The sequence below is a fragment of the Homo sapiens genome, chromosome 10, assembly GCF_000001405.40.
Source record: "Homo sapiens chromosome 10, GRCh38.p14 Primary Assembly".
Classification (NCBI taxonomy): Eukaryota; Metazoa; Chordata; class Mammalia; order Primates; family Hominidae; genus Homo; species Homo sapiens.
In genome coordinates this window covers 116,198,057-116,214,161 of record NC_000010.11, presented here as the reverse complement: position 1 = coordinate 116,214,161, position 16,105 = coordinate 116,198,057, and the positions used below count along the sequence as shown (strand labels likewise).

The 16,105-nt window shown below is 44.1% G+C and overlaps 1 protein-coding gene across 12 annotated transcripts in view; it reads left to right on the top strand.

Annotated features, from left to right (window-relative positions):
• GFRA1 (GDNF family receptor alpha 1) overlaps positions 1 to 16,105 on the top strand; it is a 217,781-nt gene that overhangs the window by 60,544 nt on the left and 141,132 nt on the right. For 2 of the 12 annotated variants that reach the window (NM_005264.8, NM_001348098.4), the window contains exon 5: positions 2,517 to 2,531. The exons of the other annotated variants lie outside the window; for them this stretch is intronic. In NM_005264.8, coding sequence (NP_005255.1) covers positions 2,517 to 2,531 — 15 coding nt within the window. The remainder of the gene's footprint in view (positions 1 to 2,516; positions 2,532 to 16,105) is intronic. 12 annotated transcript variants of the gene reach the window in all.

Below are 16,105 nucleotides of genomic sequence, written 5' to 3'. Positions count from 1 at the left end.
CTGGTCAGAGGGTGGTTGGTGCAGACTATGGGTTCCAGAAGCAAGCGCAGGTGAAAGTGGTATATTTAGGGAGCTGTACACGGTTCTCACAGTCTCTGGGCAGTGGCATCCCATACACTACTGGATCAGAATTTGTACTAATGATGAATTACTGAGGTTAGAGACTACTGTATAGTGTGTATCAATTAGAGCAGAGTCAAGGTTTCCTGTAGTGGGACTGATAGGACCCATTTACATCCCAGTTGGCTTTGCTGAGTGTAAAAGAAATGGTGATGTTTTTGCCAATTCCCTGGGAATTATGAGCCTGCAATCTGTTTTACCTGCACCACAACCACTGGCCTCAGTGTGCCCTTGGGAGTATGAACGACTCCCTGTGGGGTCATGTGTGCCCAAGTGGAGTGAAAACTGCCACCATAGATCTTCTCTTCTTGCAGTCTGTTAACCTATGAGGTGCATGTCTCAGCCACACCACTGATGGACCCTTGGTTCTTTGTGGTTTTGTAGGAGCTGATGTTTCTGGTGATGACAGAGAACAAAATTAGATGTTGATGATATAGTTCCTACTTAGTTTTTAAGATGAAAATAACTTTAGTTTTAAAATTTGGGTTGTAAATGTAAGGCGTGTTCATTGCTAAAAATTAATACAGAAATGCTTGCATAAAATGTAAAAAGGTGACCCTGAATTCCATCTCCTGAAAATAAGCAATATTTCTGTGACCATTGTCACAGTTCTGTCTTCATACAGGGGGCACAGATGGGCTCAGGATTATATGTGCCATTTTGCTATCTGATATTTTCATTCAAAATAATCAAGGTCTTTATATAGCCATTTAAAACAGCTGCACAATAATCCACTGTGTGAGATATATTATATTTGGCTTGATTCCTTATTGCCAAACAATCAGGCAACATCCAGTGTTTTGCCAGTATAAACAATGCTATGATGAACATTCGTGTAGATTTCTTTTATACATTTCATTATTTCATTAGATTAGAGTCCTAGAAGTGGTATTGTTGGGCCAAGGAATGCATATTTAATCTTTTTTTATATACCATCAAACTATCTTCTAGAAGTTTCATTCCTTTTTACAATCCTACCATCAGAGCAGAAACTGGCTCACATCTGAGTGGTACTGTCTGTATCTCTGCTGGTGTTCTTTTGTCTTTAAGTTACTGAGTGAGAAAGCATGAGCAAATGAGCGTACTTTTGGAGTGAGTGGGAGGCGGTATAAGCAGGGTGAACCTGAATCCATGTGGGAGATGTCAAAAAGTACTTGGCATTTGTACATAAGTTTGTGAAGAGATATGTATGAAAATGTTCATCACAATTCCTAATTGCCAAACGTGGAGAACAACCCAATGTCCAGCAACATTCGAGTGGAGAAATAAACTGTAGTATAACCCCACAGTGAAATACTACATGGCAGTGAGAATGAATGAGCTACCGTGTGCTACAGTATGGATGACTCCAAAAGAAGCCAAGAAAAGGATTCATGTTGTATCAGTCCATTTACATAAAATTCAAAACCAGGCCATTGAATTTCTGGTGGGGGTGGTAGTTAGTGACTGCTTGTTTGTTTATTTTTTTAACTAGATGTGTGTGTGTGTGTGTGTGTGTGTGTGTGTGTGTGTGTGTGTTTTGAGACGGAATTTTGCTCTTGTTGCCCAGGCTGGAGTGCAATGGAGCGATCTCGGCTTACTGCAACCTCCTCCTCCTGGGTTCAAGTGATTCTCCTGCCTCAGCCTCCCGAGTAGATGGGATTACAGGCACCCACCACTGCGTCTGGCTAATTTTTGTATTTTTAGTAGAGATGGGGTTTCACCATGTTAGCCAGGCTGGTCTTGAACTCCTGACCTCAGGTGATCCGCCTGCCTCAGCCTCTCAAAGTGCTGGGATTACAGGCATGAGCCACCGTGCCTGGCCCTAGATGTGTGTTTCCTGGTGTCAGTGTAATTGGCATTTAGGGTATTTAGTAGCTTCTCAATATTTGTTGAAAAAAATACATTCATTTTTTTAACCTTTCTAACACACTTTGACCATGCTTGTTCCTCTGTGGCCTTGAATGAGTTATTTAACTTTCTGGAGCCTCAGTTTCCCCATCTATAAAATGAGAACTATAATAAAACTTACTTTATAAGATTGTTGTGAAAGTAGTATTAATATAAATAATAGCTGCTGATTTTTCTATGTTTACTATGTACTGGGCACTGGTCTAAGCTCTTAAAATGTATGACATCATTTGTTTAATTTTTCCCGTACTTAGATCTATTTTGTGGTTTAGGGAACTGTAAGTCACAGAGTTAGTAAGTGTGAGGCCAGGATTGAAATGCAAGCAGCCTCATTCCAGAGCTTGAGCTCTTAAGCACTGCCTCCTGAGTTAAAGGAAATATGCATAGAGTGCTTAGCAAAGTCAGCATATGTCATCATCATACTGTCCTTTTCAACATTATTATTAATATTTTTTCTCCTCTCTTTCTCCCCTCTCCCCTCCCCTACTTTTCTTCTTTCTTGGCAGATGTTTTTCAGCAAGGTAAGTTCACTGTTTCCTGCCTGCTTTTTCACTGGCTGTGCTCTTTGGGGAACATGGGTATGGTCTGTGTACAGAGGGTTATGGGGTTTCCCGTTCTCTATGGACATGTCATTTAGGCCCTCAGGGACACCATGAGGACAGTGGCTTAAAGTGCCATCAGCCTCCCTGGGCCTCTGCTGTCCAACCTCTGCTTCTTCCTCTGAACCATGCTTGGGGGTAGGATGTAGACTGGACAGCTGGGCAGAGACGCTTGGAGAGGGGTCTGTGGCTGGGCCCTGGAAGGAGAGAGGGATCCTGTGGGCCTGGTGAGGACTGATACTCTGGAGGGGAGTCTGGGGGAAGGCCACTGTCCGTTGGGGCTCCTGCATCCGGCTCAGCTGCTGCTCCTTATACCAGTGCCAGTGGAGATTCCTTTGCCAAGCAAACATGCCACTGTTGTAGAGGTGTGGCAAGGCCATGGCTGGCTGGTCACTTCATGCTTTTCAACCTCGCCAGCTGGGTCTGACTGAGATAGTGTCACCCAGGTGAGGGTGTGCAGTGTCATCTGTTTTACCAGGCAAGGTCATGTGCTCTGAGGAGCTGGAGGTGAAATCCTAACCCCACATTGGCCCATGTTTTAGTCCCCACTTAGGATGCAGAGCAATTGTGCTCTGGGGTGCAGCAGGAGACTCATGGATCATGGCCTCCTCGAACCTTCTGGATATACGTCAAGGGGGAATTGGCTTTTTATCACAGCTTGACACTACTGGGTAAAAGTAGCAGGGCATCACTGTTTGTAGTCAAGCTGGGAAATATGTTGGTAGCACACATCTGCTGTGTCTTTCTGGAATCTAAGGCTGGCTTTACAATAAAAGAGACTGGTTTAAAAATACACCCAGGCATTCCATAAATAGCTTCCAAATAATCTTACAGGCTTGGTATTTTCACAACTGTTATTTCACCCCAAACAGGCAGCGTGTGTTATGGAGAATATCTGCCTTCTCTGATAGAAGTGCAGTTGTGGATAACAATGAGGGTACTGTCGTATTGTCTTTTAAGAGTCTGGAGTCATAGACTTACTTTTATAAATAATTTATAAATCCCAACAAGCTATAAGTAATAAGTTCCATTTGGCTAGAGACTAAGAGATGAGCAAAATTGAAAAGGTATCGTGACTGTTCGTGTAATGAAAGTGCTGCTGTCAGGGCCTGTTGCTGCAGTGAGTTTTCTTCCTTCACAAACTGGGGGGTCAGTGGGGCACTCTAGGCAGATCATTTTTTTTTCTGTGAACTAGAATGTAAGCAACCCCACACTGAATTGCATTTTTCCTCTTGAAACACAAAACATTTGAGTTTGGAAAGTCTTTCTGGAACATGTGTGTTGAGGTTACTGGAGAATGGGGAGAGGGGAGGCTGGTGTCAGATCTGGCTTTTCTACACACAATGGTGAGCGTTCATGGTGGTTGTAATTGGCAGAAAAAAATGGCTTACCAGACTGCCTCTGTCAAGTTTGCCTTCTTTTTTAATCAGTCATGCCATTCGATTGATGGGATTTGCCTGTCAGTAACAATGATATGCAGAGCAAAAGTTATAATCATCTACAAATCACTGGCTATCGAGACTTAATAACATCTGCCAGAGATGGAAGCCGCAAGCTACCCGTTGCTCTGTGTGTCAGTGGGCGGCCGCTCCCTTATAAGGTATTACTCGGATTTCAAATGGAAGGAACTGAACTTGCTTTTGTGAATTATTTACATGGCTCTGGCCATATTGGACCATTTCGTATGGAGACACATTCTCTAAAATAATGGCAAAGAACTCGCCCGCTGGTACCCACTCCTTACCTTTGTTTCTGGCCATCCTGCTTATGAAAATATTGCTCCGTAAAATGTTCAACTGGTGACAGTTACATCAGCTCTGTGTCTTACAGACGGAATCTAAAACCGTGATCTCCACAAGGTCTTCTGTGGTTAAAACTCAGGGCCAGAATTGTACCATTTAGTTGAAATATGGGGATGATAAATTGTGCTAGAAATCAACAAGCAGAAAACGACTTAGCTTCAAGTGAACAGACGCCACTGCGTTGTCTGGGGCCCATGCACACAATGGCAACATTGAGTGGCCCTGCCTTCCTGGACACGCCATGGGCATCCAGGCCCTGCTTGCTTTGACTTGGCCAAGAAGTCATGGGCAGTTGGGGGAACACCACTTGATAAATGTGTGCTTCTGTCAGTGAGGGAGGGAGGACTCTGCCCAGTGGAGTCCCTGCCTGTTTGGGCTGCTGTGTGCATTGTGGCAGGCAGAAGAGGGAAGCAGGCTTGCAGTTGACAACATCAGATGTTCTCAGAGGAAACAGAAGTTATTTCCTCTGGATTGCATTATCTTATATTTCATTACAGATCAATCTTGTTATAGCAGGTGACAGCACAGCAGTTATTGCTGGGTTTTTCTCTGCTGTGTCTGTGGCATGTGCACGTGAGAGTGTGCGTCTACCCTGCTCTCATGTCATTTTATAGCTTCTTTCTGTTCTTTCATCTGTAAATGCCACTTGCTGTGATGCTTAGACCACAGAGTCTGAGGACAGTTAAGGACCGGTGGGCTTGCAGCTGGGCCTTTCTACATACGAGTTCCAGGGCCACGGGGCCATGTTTTCAAGGAGCCTTAATTGACCTACATTCCCTGTTGTCCACAGAGACATTGGGTAGCTCTCAGGAATTCCAAAGTGCCATAGAATTGCTCTTCACAATTTCAAATGCAATTGAAAATTCTGTATGTGCATGTGTGTCTAGGGTCATGAGTTTTAGGGTACTTTAATACCAATCATTTACTAATGATGAAGTCAGGACCACACAAACACACATGCACGCCTCATTTGAAGTTACTGAAGCACGTTTTGAATGCTCATCCGTTGCCTCAACCTTGATTCTGAAATCGAACAGAAACTGAGCAAGCCGCTTGGAAATCACAACAATACCACTCAGCAGAGCATTTTAAAGCGTAAGTGGGCGCGGTATAAAGATTTCACCATTTAGTTAATTCTCCCTGCGCTGTCAACTGAAGTCCCTTGAAGACTCTGAGCCCAGAGAGGTATAGCCTTTCCTCCTCCCTTGTTCTTATCTGGAGCCAGGATCTTGTTAATGGAGAGATTTTTCTTCTGGCTCCAGTAATTTGCCATACCCCTCAAACACAGGGCATGACATGTTTATTCTGCAGCCAGTACATGTGCGCAGGGCACTTTCTAGACCTTGAGAATAAGTGAAAAAGACAGCAAAGGGTCCTGTTTTCGTGGAACTTATAGTCTAGCTTGAGGGGCATTCTGTAGTCAAGTTTACAAATAAGGTGAATTCAAACAGGGATGAATGAAGAAAATATCTCAGGGTGATGTGCCAGTGGCTACTAGGACCACTGCAGAAGGAGTGGCCAGAGAATGACAAGTAGGGCCAGTTACTGAAGTATCTGGGGGAGGACAGAAGGATTTACAAGGTAGGAACACCCCGATGTTCCAGGTTCAGAAGAAAGCCTGGGGTGTATCTGGAGCTCGTGAGTGAAGGAGAAAGTTGTGTGAAATGAGCAAGGAGAAAAGGGCATCTAGGGAGCTGAGAGAAAGGGAGTCAGAGGTGAATTTTAAACAGGAGAATGGCGTGGTCTTATTCACATTTAAAAATAACCACTCTGGATGCTGCAAAAACACACAGAACAGTACATGAGAAGTGCAGATCAGGACCAGCGCTGAGGGCTGAGTGGGCGGCTCTAACTGCCGTGCTTCAAGAGTCTCTGCTGTCTCGGGCAGTGAGAACGAGTAGCCCCATTCCTAGCCAGCTCACCTCTGCTGAGTGCTCACTTTCTGCTCGCTTTGCCTGAAGAGGGTCTTGTGCCCATGACTTACATCTGCTGTCCTTAAGGCTGGCAAATTATGCTCATCAAGACATTATTAAAATATTCCTATATGTGTCTTCAGATTTTAAAAAGCCACTTTTCTGCAATACATACGTACATGTGTGTATCATATGTATTACATGCATATGATATATATATATCAATCATATATTTTTAAGCCTCAGCTGAGTACGATGCAGAGGAAAGACACCAAATTCCAAGGTCTCCAGGACCACTGGCAACAAAGAAAGGGGGTTTTTGTAGGACTGTGTCTCCTTCGACACCACATGCCCATTTGCCATGGGTGGCTACTCCCCAGCTCTGCAGAGTGAGGCCAGGCAGGAATTTGGACCCACAATTGCCACATAGCCAGGATTTTCTAGAGAAGCCAGGAATCTGGAATGGTGTGCCAGACCTTACAATGTTAAGCTTTTAGTTAAAGGTTAAACAAACAAACTGAACTCATCTATGGCCAGAATGGCCGCTGATCTCAGATTGGTGACAGGTGATTAGGAAACCTCAGTGTTTCTCCAGCAGGGTTGCGACCTTTGCAGGGGGAGTTTGGCCAGGTGCTTTGGCCTCTGGCCTCAGTTTCCTCATCTGTAAAATGAGAGAATTTTACAGATGAGGAAACTGTTTTACAGTTTTACATTTTACAGATGAGAAAATACCTGACCCTGTTTGTCTTTCTGTAGATGCTCTATCTGGAGAAGTTTTAAGTGGACTTGAGTTAATAAAGTACAGTAATATCCCTTGTGCAGGTTTTGGCTATGCACTAGATAACCTGGGTGAAAGCAGAGGCTTCTCTCATGGTGGTGAATTAAGGTTAAAAGAATGTGGTTTCAGGCCGGGTGCGGTGGCTCACGCCTGTAATCCCAGGACTTTGGGAGGCCGAGGCGGGTGGATCACGAGGTCAGGAGATCGAGACCATTCTGGCTAGCACGGTGAAACCCCGTCTCTACTAAAAATACAAAAAATTAGCCAGGCGTCGTGGCAGGCGCCTGTAGTCCCAGCTACTCGGGAGGCTGAGGAAGGAGAATGGCGTGAACCCGGGAGGCGGAGCTTGCAGTGAGCCGAGATCGCGCGGCTGCACTCCAGCCCAGCCTGGGCGACAGAGTGAGGCTCCGTCTCAAAAAAAAAAAAAAAAAAAAAAAGAGAATGTGGTTTCAGAAGTGTAACCTGTTCACATGGCCATTTTGAAACATCAGCTCTTTCCCATATGGATAAATACTGGAATCCACAATGGATGGCATTGCTTTTATTAATTTGAAGAGAACAATAAATCATAGTTTGGTTTCTGGCAGCCGAGCCAAGCCTGTTAATTGTCGGGGTGGGCTTGTGGTGACGGGCCCACTGCCATTTATCAGGAGCTTGACTTGAGCTCTTTTGCGTATTTCAAACTTATGGGTCAAACTGCTCGGCCTTCGTCTTAGGTTTACTCAGCCACTTCTGAAAACCCATCTATTATAAAGCTGCGACCCCTTAGCCATGAATTATGCTCCCCCTGATAATGTCTTACATTATGAAAGATTGTTTTCTTTATGAGTGTGGGATTTGAGTGAATAAATGAAATCTATTTTTACCACTTCCAGGTAAACATTCCAAGTTGTTATGTGATGGCAAACTAGGAAATGAGAAAAATGCGTGAACACTTTTATGGTGGAAACTGGTTGGCTCCCCAGTCACACTCCTCTGTGCAAATGTTTCAGTAAAATCAGTAAAATATTTGAAGTCATGTAGAAAATGCATCCATCTTTCTGGCACAAACAGAACAACATTACCATTTAATTTTGCATAGATTCACTTTGTGTGTGTGTGTGTGTGTGTGTGTGTGTGTGTGTGTGTGTGTGATATGAGGAAAATGATAACCAGATTTAAATAATCACTTTCTCTGAGATGTTGTATCACATTCTACGGGGGCTGTGCGAGGCTGCCTCTTCCCTGCCAGGTGACCTTGGGGTGGAGCTTTCCTTGTCACAGATTCATTGTGTGCCCACTCCCATCTGAGGGCATGAGTTTGGGGTGAGGTTTTAAAGGGTCTCCCACCGCTAACTTGTCTTTCAAAATTCCTTATCAGGAAAGAAGGAAACTTTTAGATTTTTTTGTTGAAGTCGTGGCTATAAAAGAAGAGCAGTTTGTCCTTTTAAAGAATATATATATATATATATATATATATATATCTTTTTTTTTTCCTTTCTTTTTTGAGATGAAGTCTAGCTCTGTCGCCAGGCTAGAGTGCAGTGGTGCGTTCTCAGCTCACTGCAACCTCTGCCTCCCAGGTTGAAGTGATTCTCCTGCCTCAGCCTCCTGAGTATCTGGGATTACAGGCACGTGCCGCTACGCCCAGCTAATTTTTTTATTTTTACTAGAAATGGGGTTTCACCTTGTTGGCGAGATGGTCTTGATCTCCTGACCTCGTGATCCACCCACCTTGGCCTCCTAAAGTGTTGGGATTACAGGTGTGAGTCACCGTGCCCGGCCCCTTTTAAAATTTTTATTGGGATAATAATAATGCTAGTATTTGTGTGCCCCTGTATTCCAGACATTGAGCTAAGTATTTTGCACACATTTCCTCACTGAATCTGCCCCCAAACTTTATAAGGTACGGTCATGTGCTGCATGACAGTGGTTCAGTCAATGACAGCATTAAATGATGGTGGTCCCATAAGATTATAATATTGGATTTTTAATGCATTTTCTATGTTTATATATACTTAGATTCTTACCATTGTGTCACATCATATCAAGGGCACATTCTATCAATGTGATTTATGACAGCTGATGTTGATCTTGATCATTTGGCTGAAATAGTGTGTGTCAAGTTTCTCCACTGGTGTGGTTACTTTCCTCCTCCTTTCCATACTATACTCTTTGGAAGGAAATCTATGCATAGCCTGCCTTTAAGGAGTGGGGAGTTATGCTCCACCTCATTGAGGGTTGCCTATCTACATAAATTATTCTTCTGCACTGGAGACTTGCCACTTATCCCTCATGTATGTATTTATTCAATAACTTACATCAATATGAACTCATAGGTATTTATGTTATGCTTTGAGTTCTAATCTATTACTATTTTATTTATTTTGTTGCTCAAATTGTTCCCATTTTGGCCACTTGGAGCTCTTTCAGCTGGCTTCTATGCCCCTTTGACATATTCCTTAACAAAAGTAACCTTTTGAGCACTTCTGTAATACTTATGGCACTAGAAGATGCTCCAGGCTCATCATTTATATTTCCCACCGTAATCCCACAATCAATAGGATTGTACAATCACTTCTCCAAGGAGTCCTGGTTCTGATCATTGAAGAATGATACAAGAAACCAAGATCTGGGTGTTAGGTGTGCTTATTGCTACCAGGGTGTCCTTTCTTTTAGGCCCTCCTAGCTGACAGAGCAAATAAGTATATGCATGTACACTGACCTGTGCATATGCACATATCTGTAAATATTTATATATATAACCAGGTGTATAAATATTAAATTAAGCATGAGCTCCTCTTGATGTGTTCGACTCTAACCCATCACCACATGGATCATTCTAGCCTCCTCTCACTGGTTATTTGTAAATTCCCACTCCCATGGTAAGACACCTGGACCAGGATTTTGACTTCAGGTCAGTCTACCTGGGTTCAGTCTGCTTTCTTGACACCTAGAGAAGGGCTTTCATCTACCCACAGTGGGACAGAGTCACAGATCCTTGACACTTTCCAAGGCCAGACATGACTGCTCAGATGTAGAAGTACAAGTTTGTTGCATGCCCTTCTGCTTCTACGCCAGACCCAGGCTTGTTCTCAGGACTTCTCAGCCAGTTCTAGCTTTGCTAGTTTCTCAGTGGGTTTGCCTTATCTAGAGCAGAGGCCAATTGCATAGTGTCTTGTTTCTATGCAAAGGCATTTGTGCTTTTCCCATAGCGTAGGCAAGCCAGCGACAAAACAACAGAACTGTTTACAATACTCCAGCTGTTGAGTGCTTAAACCCTCTGTACCTTCCCTAATTGATTGAATGCTTAAACCCTCTGTACCTTTTTCCCAGTTGAGATTGTTGCTCACTGGGGACCAGGATAGAGCCATCTTTTAAGTCTCTATGAGTTTGTCCTCGGGCTAGATTATGAGGCTTCTGGGAATCTCCTGCTTGGGCAGGAGGGTGGTCGTGTTCATGAATGGTTGAGCATGTTTGTCTGTTTGGGCTGGTGCCCATGTGCCACCTTCCCCCAGCTGCCTCTCTCTGATGTCCCTTCCCAAATGCCTGTGCTGGTGCACAGTCCCCTCCAGCCAGAGCTGTTATTATTTGGAGACCTGCTGTGAAGGCTGCATCTATCAGCCAGCTGATGGGTGCCTGTGGAGATATGTGGAGCCTATTTTCTGATTCTTTCTGCAGCCTCTGATGCACCTGGTTCCCTTCAGCCCAGAAGTCAGAGAGTGGGGGCTGCTTGAACCCCTGATGTCTGAGAGCCCCACTCGCATTGTTTTTGGAGTCTGGCTTGCTGGAAGTCACAGAGAATTACATACGATTGTAGTTGATTCATACAAATTTTTTGTTAGCAGCTGAAGTGATCTTTTGGAATGCAATTTGTGAGTTCATAGAAATGTGTTCTTTACACTTGACAGTAGGTTTGGTAATATGTTCTGCTGATGGCTGGGTGTGGCCACTCATTGACGAGTGGCTTTCTTCTAGGGGATACTGGGCCAGACCTCCTCGAGCCCTGATACCTGCCTTCATTTCTAGCACCCCTCCCCCATCGCACCCCATTCATCTCCATAAGGCTTGGCCAGATTGATCCCTGTTCTTCAAAATGCTCATCCACGGCTGCCCCTATGCCTTTGGATGGATTGATTCCTCTACCTGGAGTTCTTTTACCTCTTTTCAGCACCCCATCCTCAGAAAAGTAGCCAGGGTCTGCCATCAAGGGGGCTAGCCCAGCTGGGGATGTAACATGATTTGGATTTGTGTCCTCCCCTTAATCCCAAATCTCATATCAAATTGGAGGAGGGGCCTGGTGGGAGGTGATTAGATCATGAGGGTGGATTTCCCCATTGCTGTTCTCATGATAGTGAGTAAGTTCTCACGAGATCTAATGGTTTAAAAGAGTGTGGCATGTCCCCCTTAGCTCTCTCTCTCTCCTGCTCCACCATGGTAAGACATGCTTGCTTCCCCTTCCACCATGATTGTAAGTTTCCTAAAGCCTCCCAGCCATGCTTCCTGTTAAGCCTGTGGGTCAGTGAAAGTCTTTTCTTTATGAATTACCCAGTCTCGGTTAGTTCTTTATAGCAGGGTGAGAATGGACCAATACAAGGTGCTTGTCTCTGGTGTGTGTGGGGAGAGGCAGACTCTCATTTCCACACAGTCTTCTACTGTCTTATTATGACCATATTCACAGCCACTGTGACATTTTCCTTTGAAATCTTTGAGAAGGTGCCGCCCAATGCTCCTTATAGATATACTGCTGCTTTTGCTTATTCTTCAAAACTCAGCCCAAATCCTTTCTGCTGGAAGTCAGGTTGCCTCTGACTCACCCCACCCCTCAAGTGGGAGTTCTGCCCACCCTTCTGTTAGCACTTTTCTCCCACTGTCAGAATGATCTGTCTACACATCTGGCTTCCCACACCCGATTGAGCTCCTAGAGAGGATGGAGCTTGTCTTTTATTTTGAATCCCTGGCACCCAGTGCAGTGTTGAGCACATAGTAGGGGCTCAATAGATGTTTGATGAATGAAAGTGGAAAAGAGGACAAAGCTCGGAGGAATCGGTGTTTTGTGTGGGCTGAGTGTATGTACATGCTTCTCGTATGTTCGTATTTGATAGCCTAGGTCCTTTTATGAGGTTGAGGCAGAACTCTGGTAGTGTAATCAATGATCATGTTGACAGTGAATCCAAATGTTACCTTATTCTTGGATCCAAAAATCTTTCTCTGTTTTGTTGCCTCACTACCATTCTTTGGAGTAGGTGGCAGAGGTGAGGGGGGTGGGGACAGTGTTTGGACTTAGAATGAATCAGCAAGTATTTACTTGCCCAGGTTTGTACAAGGCATGGTCAGGGACCCCAGGGGACTTAGCAGATACTGCCTCTGTTTTCTAAGCACCAACGGTTTCACTGGAGACCCAAGCCTGGTTGGTCTGTGGGTGCTGTCCTCTTCCAGTGCAGGAGGAAGCTTTACAGATAGGTGCCCCTGAAGGAGAGGCTACTACAAGAATGGTTTGGGAGGTGGTTTTGAAGGGAACTGAATGTCTAATTGGGCAGGATAAGGGCAACTCCGGGGAGTGAGGGGCGGGAGGAGGACAGTCTGAATGGAGGTGGAGACCAAAACAAGTATAGTGTTGTTTTTATGGGATGTTGAGAGGGCAGCAAACCTGGCAGACTCTGGGTTGAGATTGGATGGAGCCAGTTATGGAGCCTTTGCAATGTGCTTACTGCAAAAAACCCTCTGTTTTCTTCTGCCCCCTAACACTCTCAGTGTGACTGAAGAGATTTTTGTCTACCAAGTGAATAGTATTGGCTATTGAGTTTTCCCATTTATATTACTCATTTTTATTACTCCTTTCATTACTCAAGGACTACTAGTCAGTGACTCAGCACTCCCAATCAGCATGAATATTATACCCCTGAGTGGATGGAATTCCACCTCCTTAAGAAGAAAAAAAATGTTATTTTAGATAGCTTGAACAATGATTTTCTTGGTTATTTAAAAACCTAGGCAGCAGAGTTTAGACTTGTTCTAGAAAGCCCAAGGAAGTCATTGCAGCTCTTTAAGCAGAGAAATAGCATGCACTGTGAGCATACCATAAAACTGTCCATATTGTTTGTGGGGTGGCAGAAGATAATGGTTGTTTCTGCTAACTAACTGACTTACTGTGTGCCAGGCATGTCAATGAGCGTTCCACATACATTAACTCGCTTTCTCCCCAGAATGATCCTGGTATAAACTTAAATGTTTTTGTTTCCCCCAAAGTCATATGTTAAAATCCTAACCCCAATGTGTGCATTAGAAAGTGGGGCCTTTGGGGATAATTAGGTCATAGGGTAGAGCTCTCATGAATGGGATTAGCACCCTTATAAAAAAAGACCAGAGAGCTTCAGCTTTCTGCTCTTTGCCATGTGAGGACACAGGAAGAAAGCCTCCATCTGCAAGCCAGGAAGAGAGTCCTCACCAAGATCCCCACCCCGTTGGCACCAGGATCTTGGACTTCCAATCTCCAGAACTGTGAGAAATAAGTATTTGTCGCTAAATAAATCTTTGTGGTTTCAGATATTTAGCTATAGCAGATCAGGCTGACTAAGAGAAACCCCATAAGAGTTACATACTCACTAATCTCCGTCTCTATCCCCAGGTCTCAGATGCTGAAATAGATTCCCAAAACTTAAGTAGAAGTTAAGAAGTCAAACCTTGCAGAAGGTCTTACAGCTAGTGAAGGACTGAATCTGAGTTCAGACCCAGGAAATTCGTCTGAATTCTTTATGAGTACATTACATAGTCATCTTGAAGGGAACAGTAAACTGAGTGGGGCTTGCCACTGGATCAAGATAGACAGTGCCATAATCGGGCCAGAGATCTCACCCAGGCCCCAGAGAAATGAAAGCATGTGTCTAAGAAGGAGACTTGTACACAAATCTTCATAGCAGCTTTATTCATAATAGCCTCAAACTGGAAATAGTCCAGGTGTCCATCAGTAGGAGAAAGGACAAACTGTGATACTCATCAAATGGAACACTACTCAACTATAAAAAGCAAAAAAGGTTGCACACAACAACATGATGAATTTCAGAAACATTACACTGAGTGAAGGCAGTCCTTCGCAAAAGAGGGCAACATTCTATATGGTTCCATTTATGTGAAATTCTTAAAACTAAAATATGATGGAAAAGAACTCAACATCGTTTCCTTCTGGGGAAATGAAAGTAGCGATTGACTTGAAAGGCAAGAGGGAATCTTCTGGGATGATGGTAGTGTTCTCTATCTTAGTAGGGTTTTGGCTATACAGGTGTATACATTTGTCAAAACTCAGCGAATATACACTTAAGATTTGTGCATTTCACTGTATGTAAATTTCACTCTAAAAGGAAAAAAAATGAAACAAATACCAACCCTGGTCAATGATGTGTTCACTGAAATATTTAGGGACAAGTGTACTGGTATCTGCCATTTATTTTGAAATGCATATGAAATAAAATGTATTTATATTTACTGCTGGATGGATAGAGAGGTGGATAGATGGATACATTTGTGGTAAAGCAAGTATAGATTTGTGGTAAAGCAACATTAGTGGTAGAGTCTGGGGGTAGGAGTATGAGTGTTCATTGTAAAATTCAACTTTGCTACATATTTGAAAACTTTATAATAAAATGTTGAGGAAAAAGAGATCCCACCCAGTTGGAGTCCTTTACATAAAGAGAGCTTATGTGGCCTCCATAGGGATAAATGCAGAGGTCTGTCAGAGGTGGACCACCCCAGAGGAGGAGGCAGGTTTGGGGTCCGGCTGCAGCGCGTCAGGTGAGAAGAAGGCTTAGGGCCAAAATGCCTGAGGGATGGCTGCAGAGTAGGCTCTGGACTTGGATGCTGCAGTTACTTAGGATGCTATAATAAAGGATTACAAACGAGGTGGTGTAAAGCAACAGAAATCTATTCCCTCACTGTCCTGGAGATTGGAAGTCTGAAATCAAGGTGTCAGCAGGCCATGCTCTCTCTGAAGGCTCTAGAAGAGGATCTGTCCCGGCCGCTTCCAGCTACTGGGGATTCTCAGCAGCCCGTAGTATTCCCTGGCCTGTGGCTGCATCACTCCCATCTCTGCCTCCATCATCACATGGTCTTTGTCTCTGTATGTCTCTGGATATCTTCTTTTCTTATGAGGACACCAGTCATTTGGGATTTAGGGCTTACCCTAATCCATCGTGACCGCATTTTAACTTAATTACCTCGGCAAAAACCCTATTTCCAAATAAGGTCACATGCTGAGGTTCGAGGGGAGAAGAATTTTGGGAAAGAATTATTCAACCACTACAGATGGATGACCAGCCAACCTGGGTGGCCCACAATAAAAGAGAAGCATCAAGGGAGGACTGGGGCAAGAAAGAGAGTCCAGGGCTGGTGGACAGGGAGGACACCCTGAGGAAGATAGAAAAGGAAACCAGTTTACATTTGGCAACAGAAGGAAACCAGGGCTTGGGAGAGAGGAAAACACGGCGAGTAGCTTTGCAGGAAAGGGCTGTGTCTCAACCTGGGCCTCTCTATCCATTTATCTCCTGCATATCTTAAAGAATTAAAATGTAAATATCGGAAATTAAATCCATGGGTACAGTGTAAATAGAGGAGGCTTTTACAGAACAGACAAAGCTGTTCTTTTTCCTTATTAAACAGCCGTGGGTGGGAAAGCACGTCTGTATGCACAGGTTTTATTTGAGATGGATTAAGGTTCGTGATGAGTGAATCTCTGAAGGATTGCAGGTGCAGTTCTCATAAGCCCGCAAAAGTTCAGCTCCTTATCTGAGGCTTATCCAAACCTGATGAAACCTTTTAGGCCAGCGTGGAGGTTTGGGACCTCCAGCAGTTGAAAGTTAATATCCTGCATCAGGAAACCACCTGTATCGTGTGGGGGCGTTGGGGAGGGAGGTCTATAAATTAATGCAGACTCCGATCAGAAGCCTGCTGTGGTTTGGGGCTTCCTAGGCTTGGACCACCCACTCTCTTTGGTGGATGGATTACAAGTTCAGCCCTTTTAGCTCTTGCAGA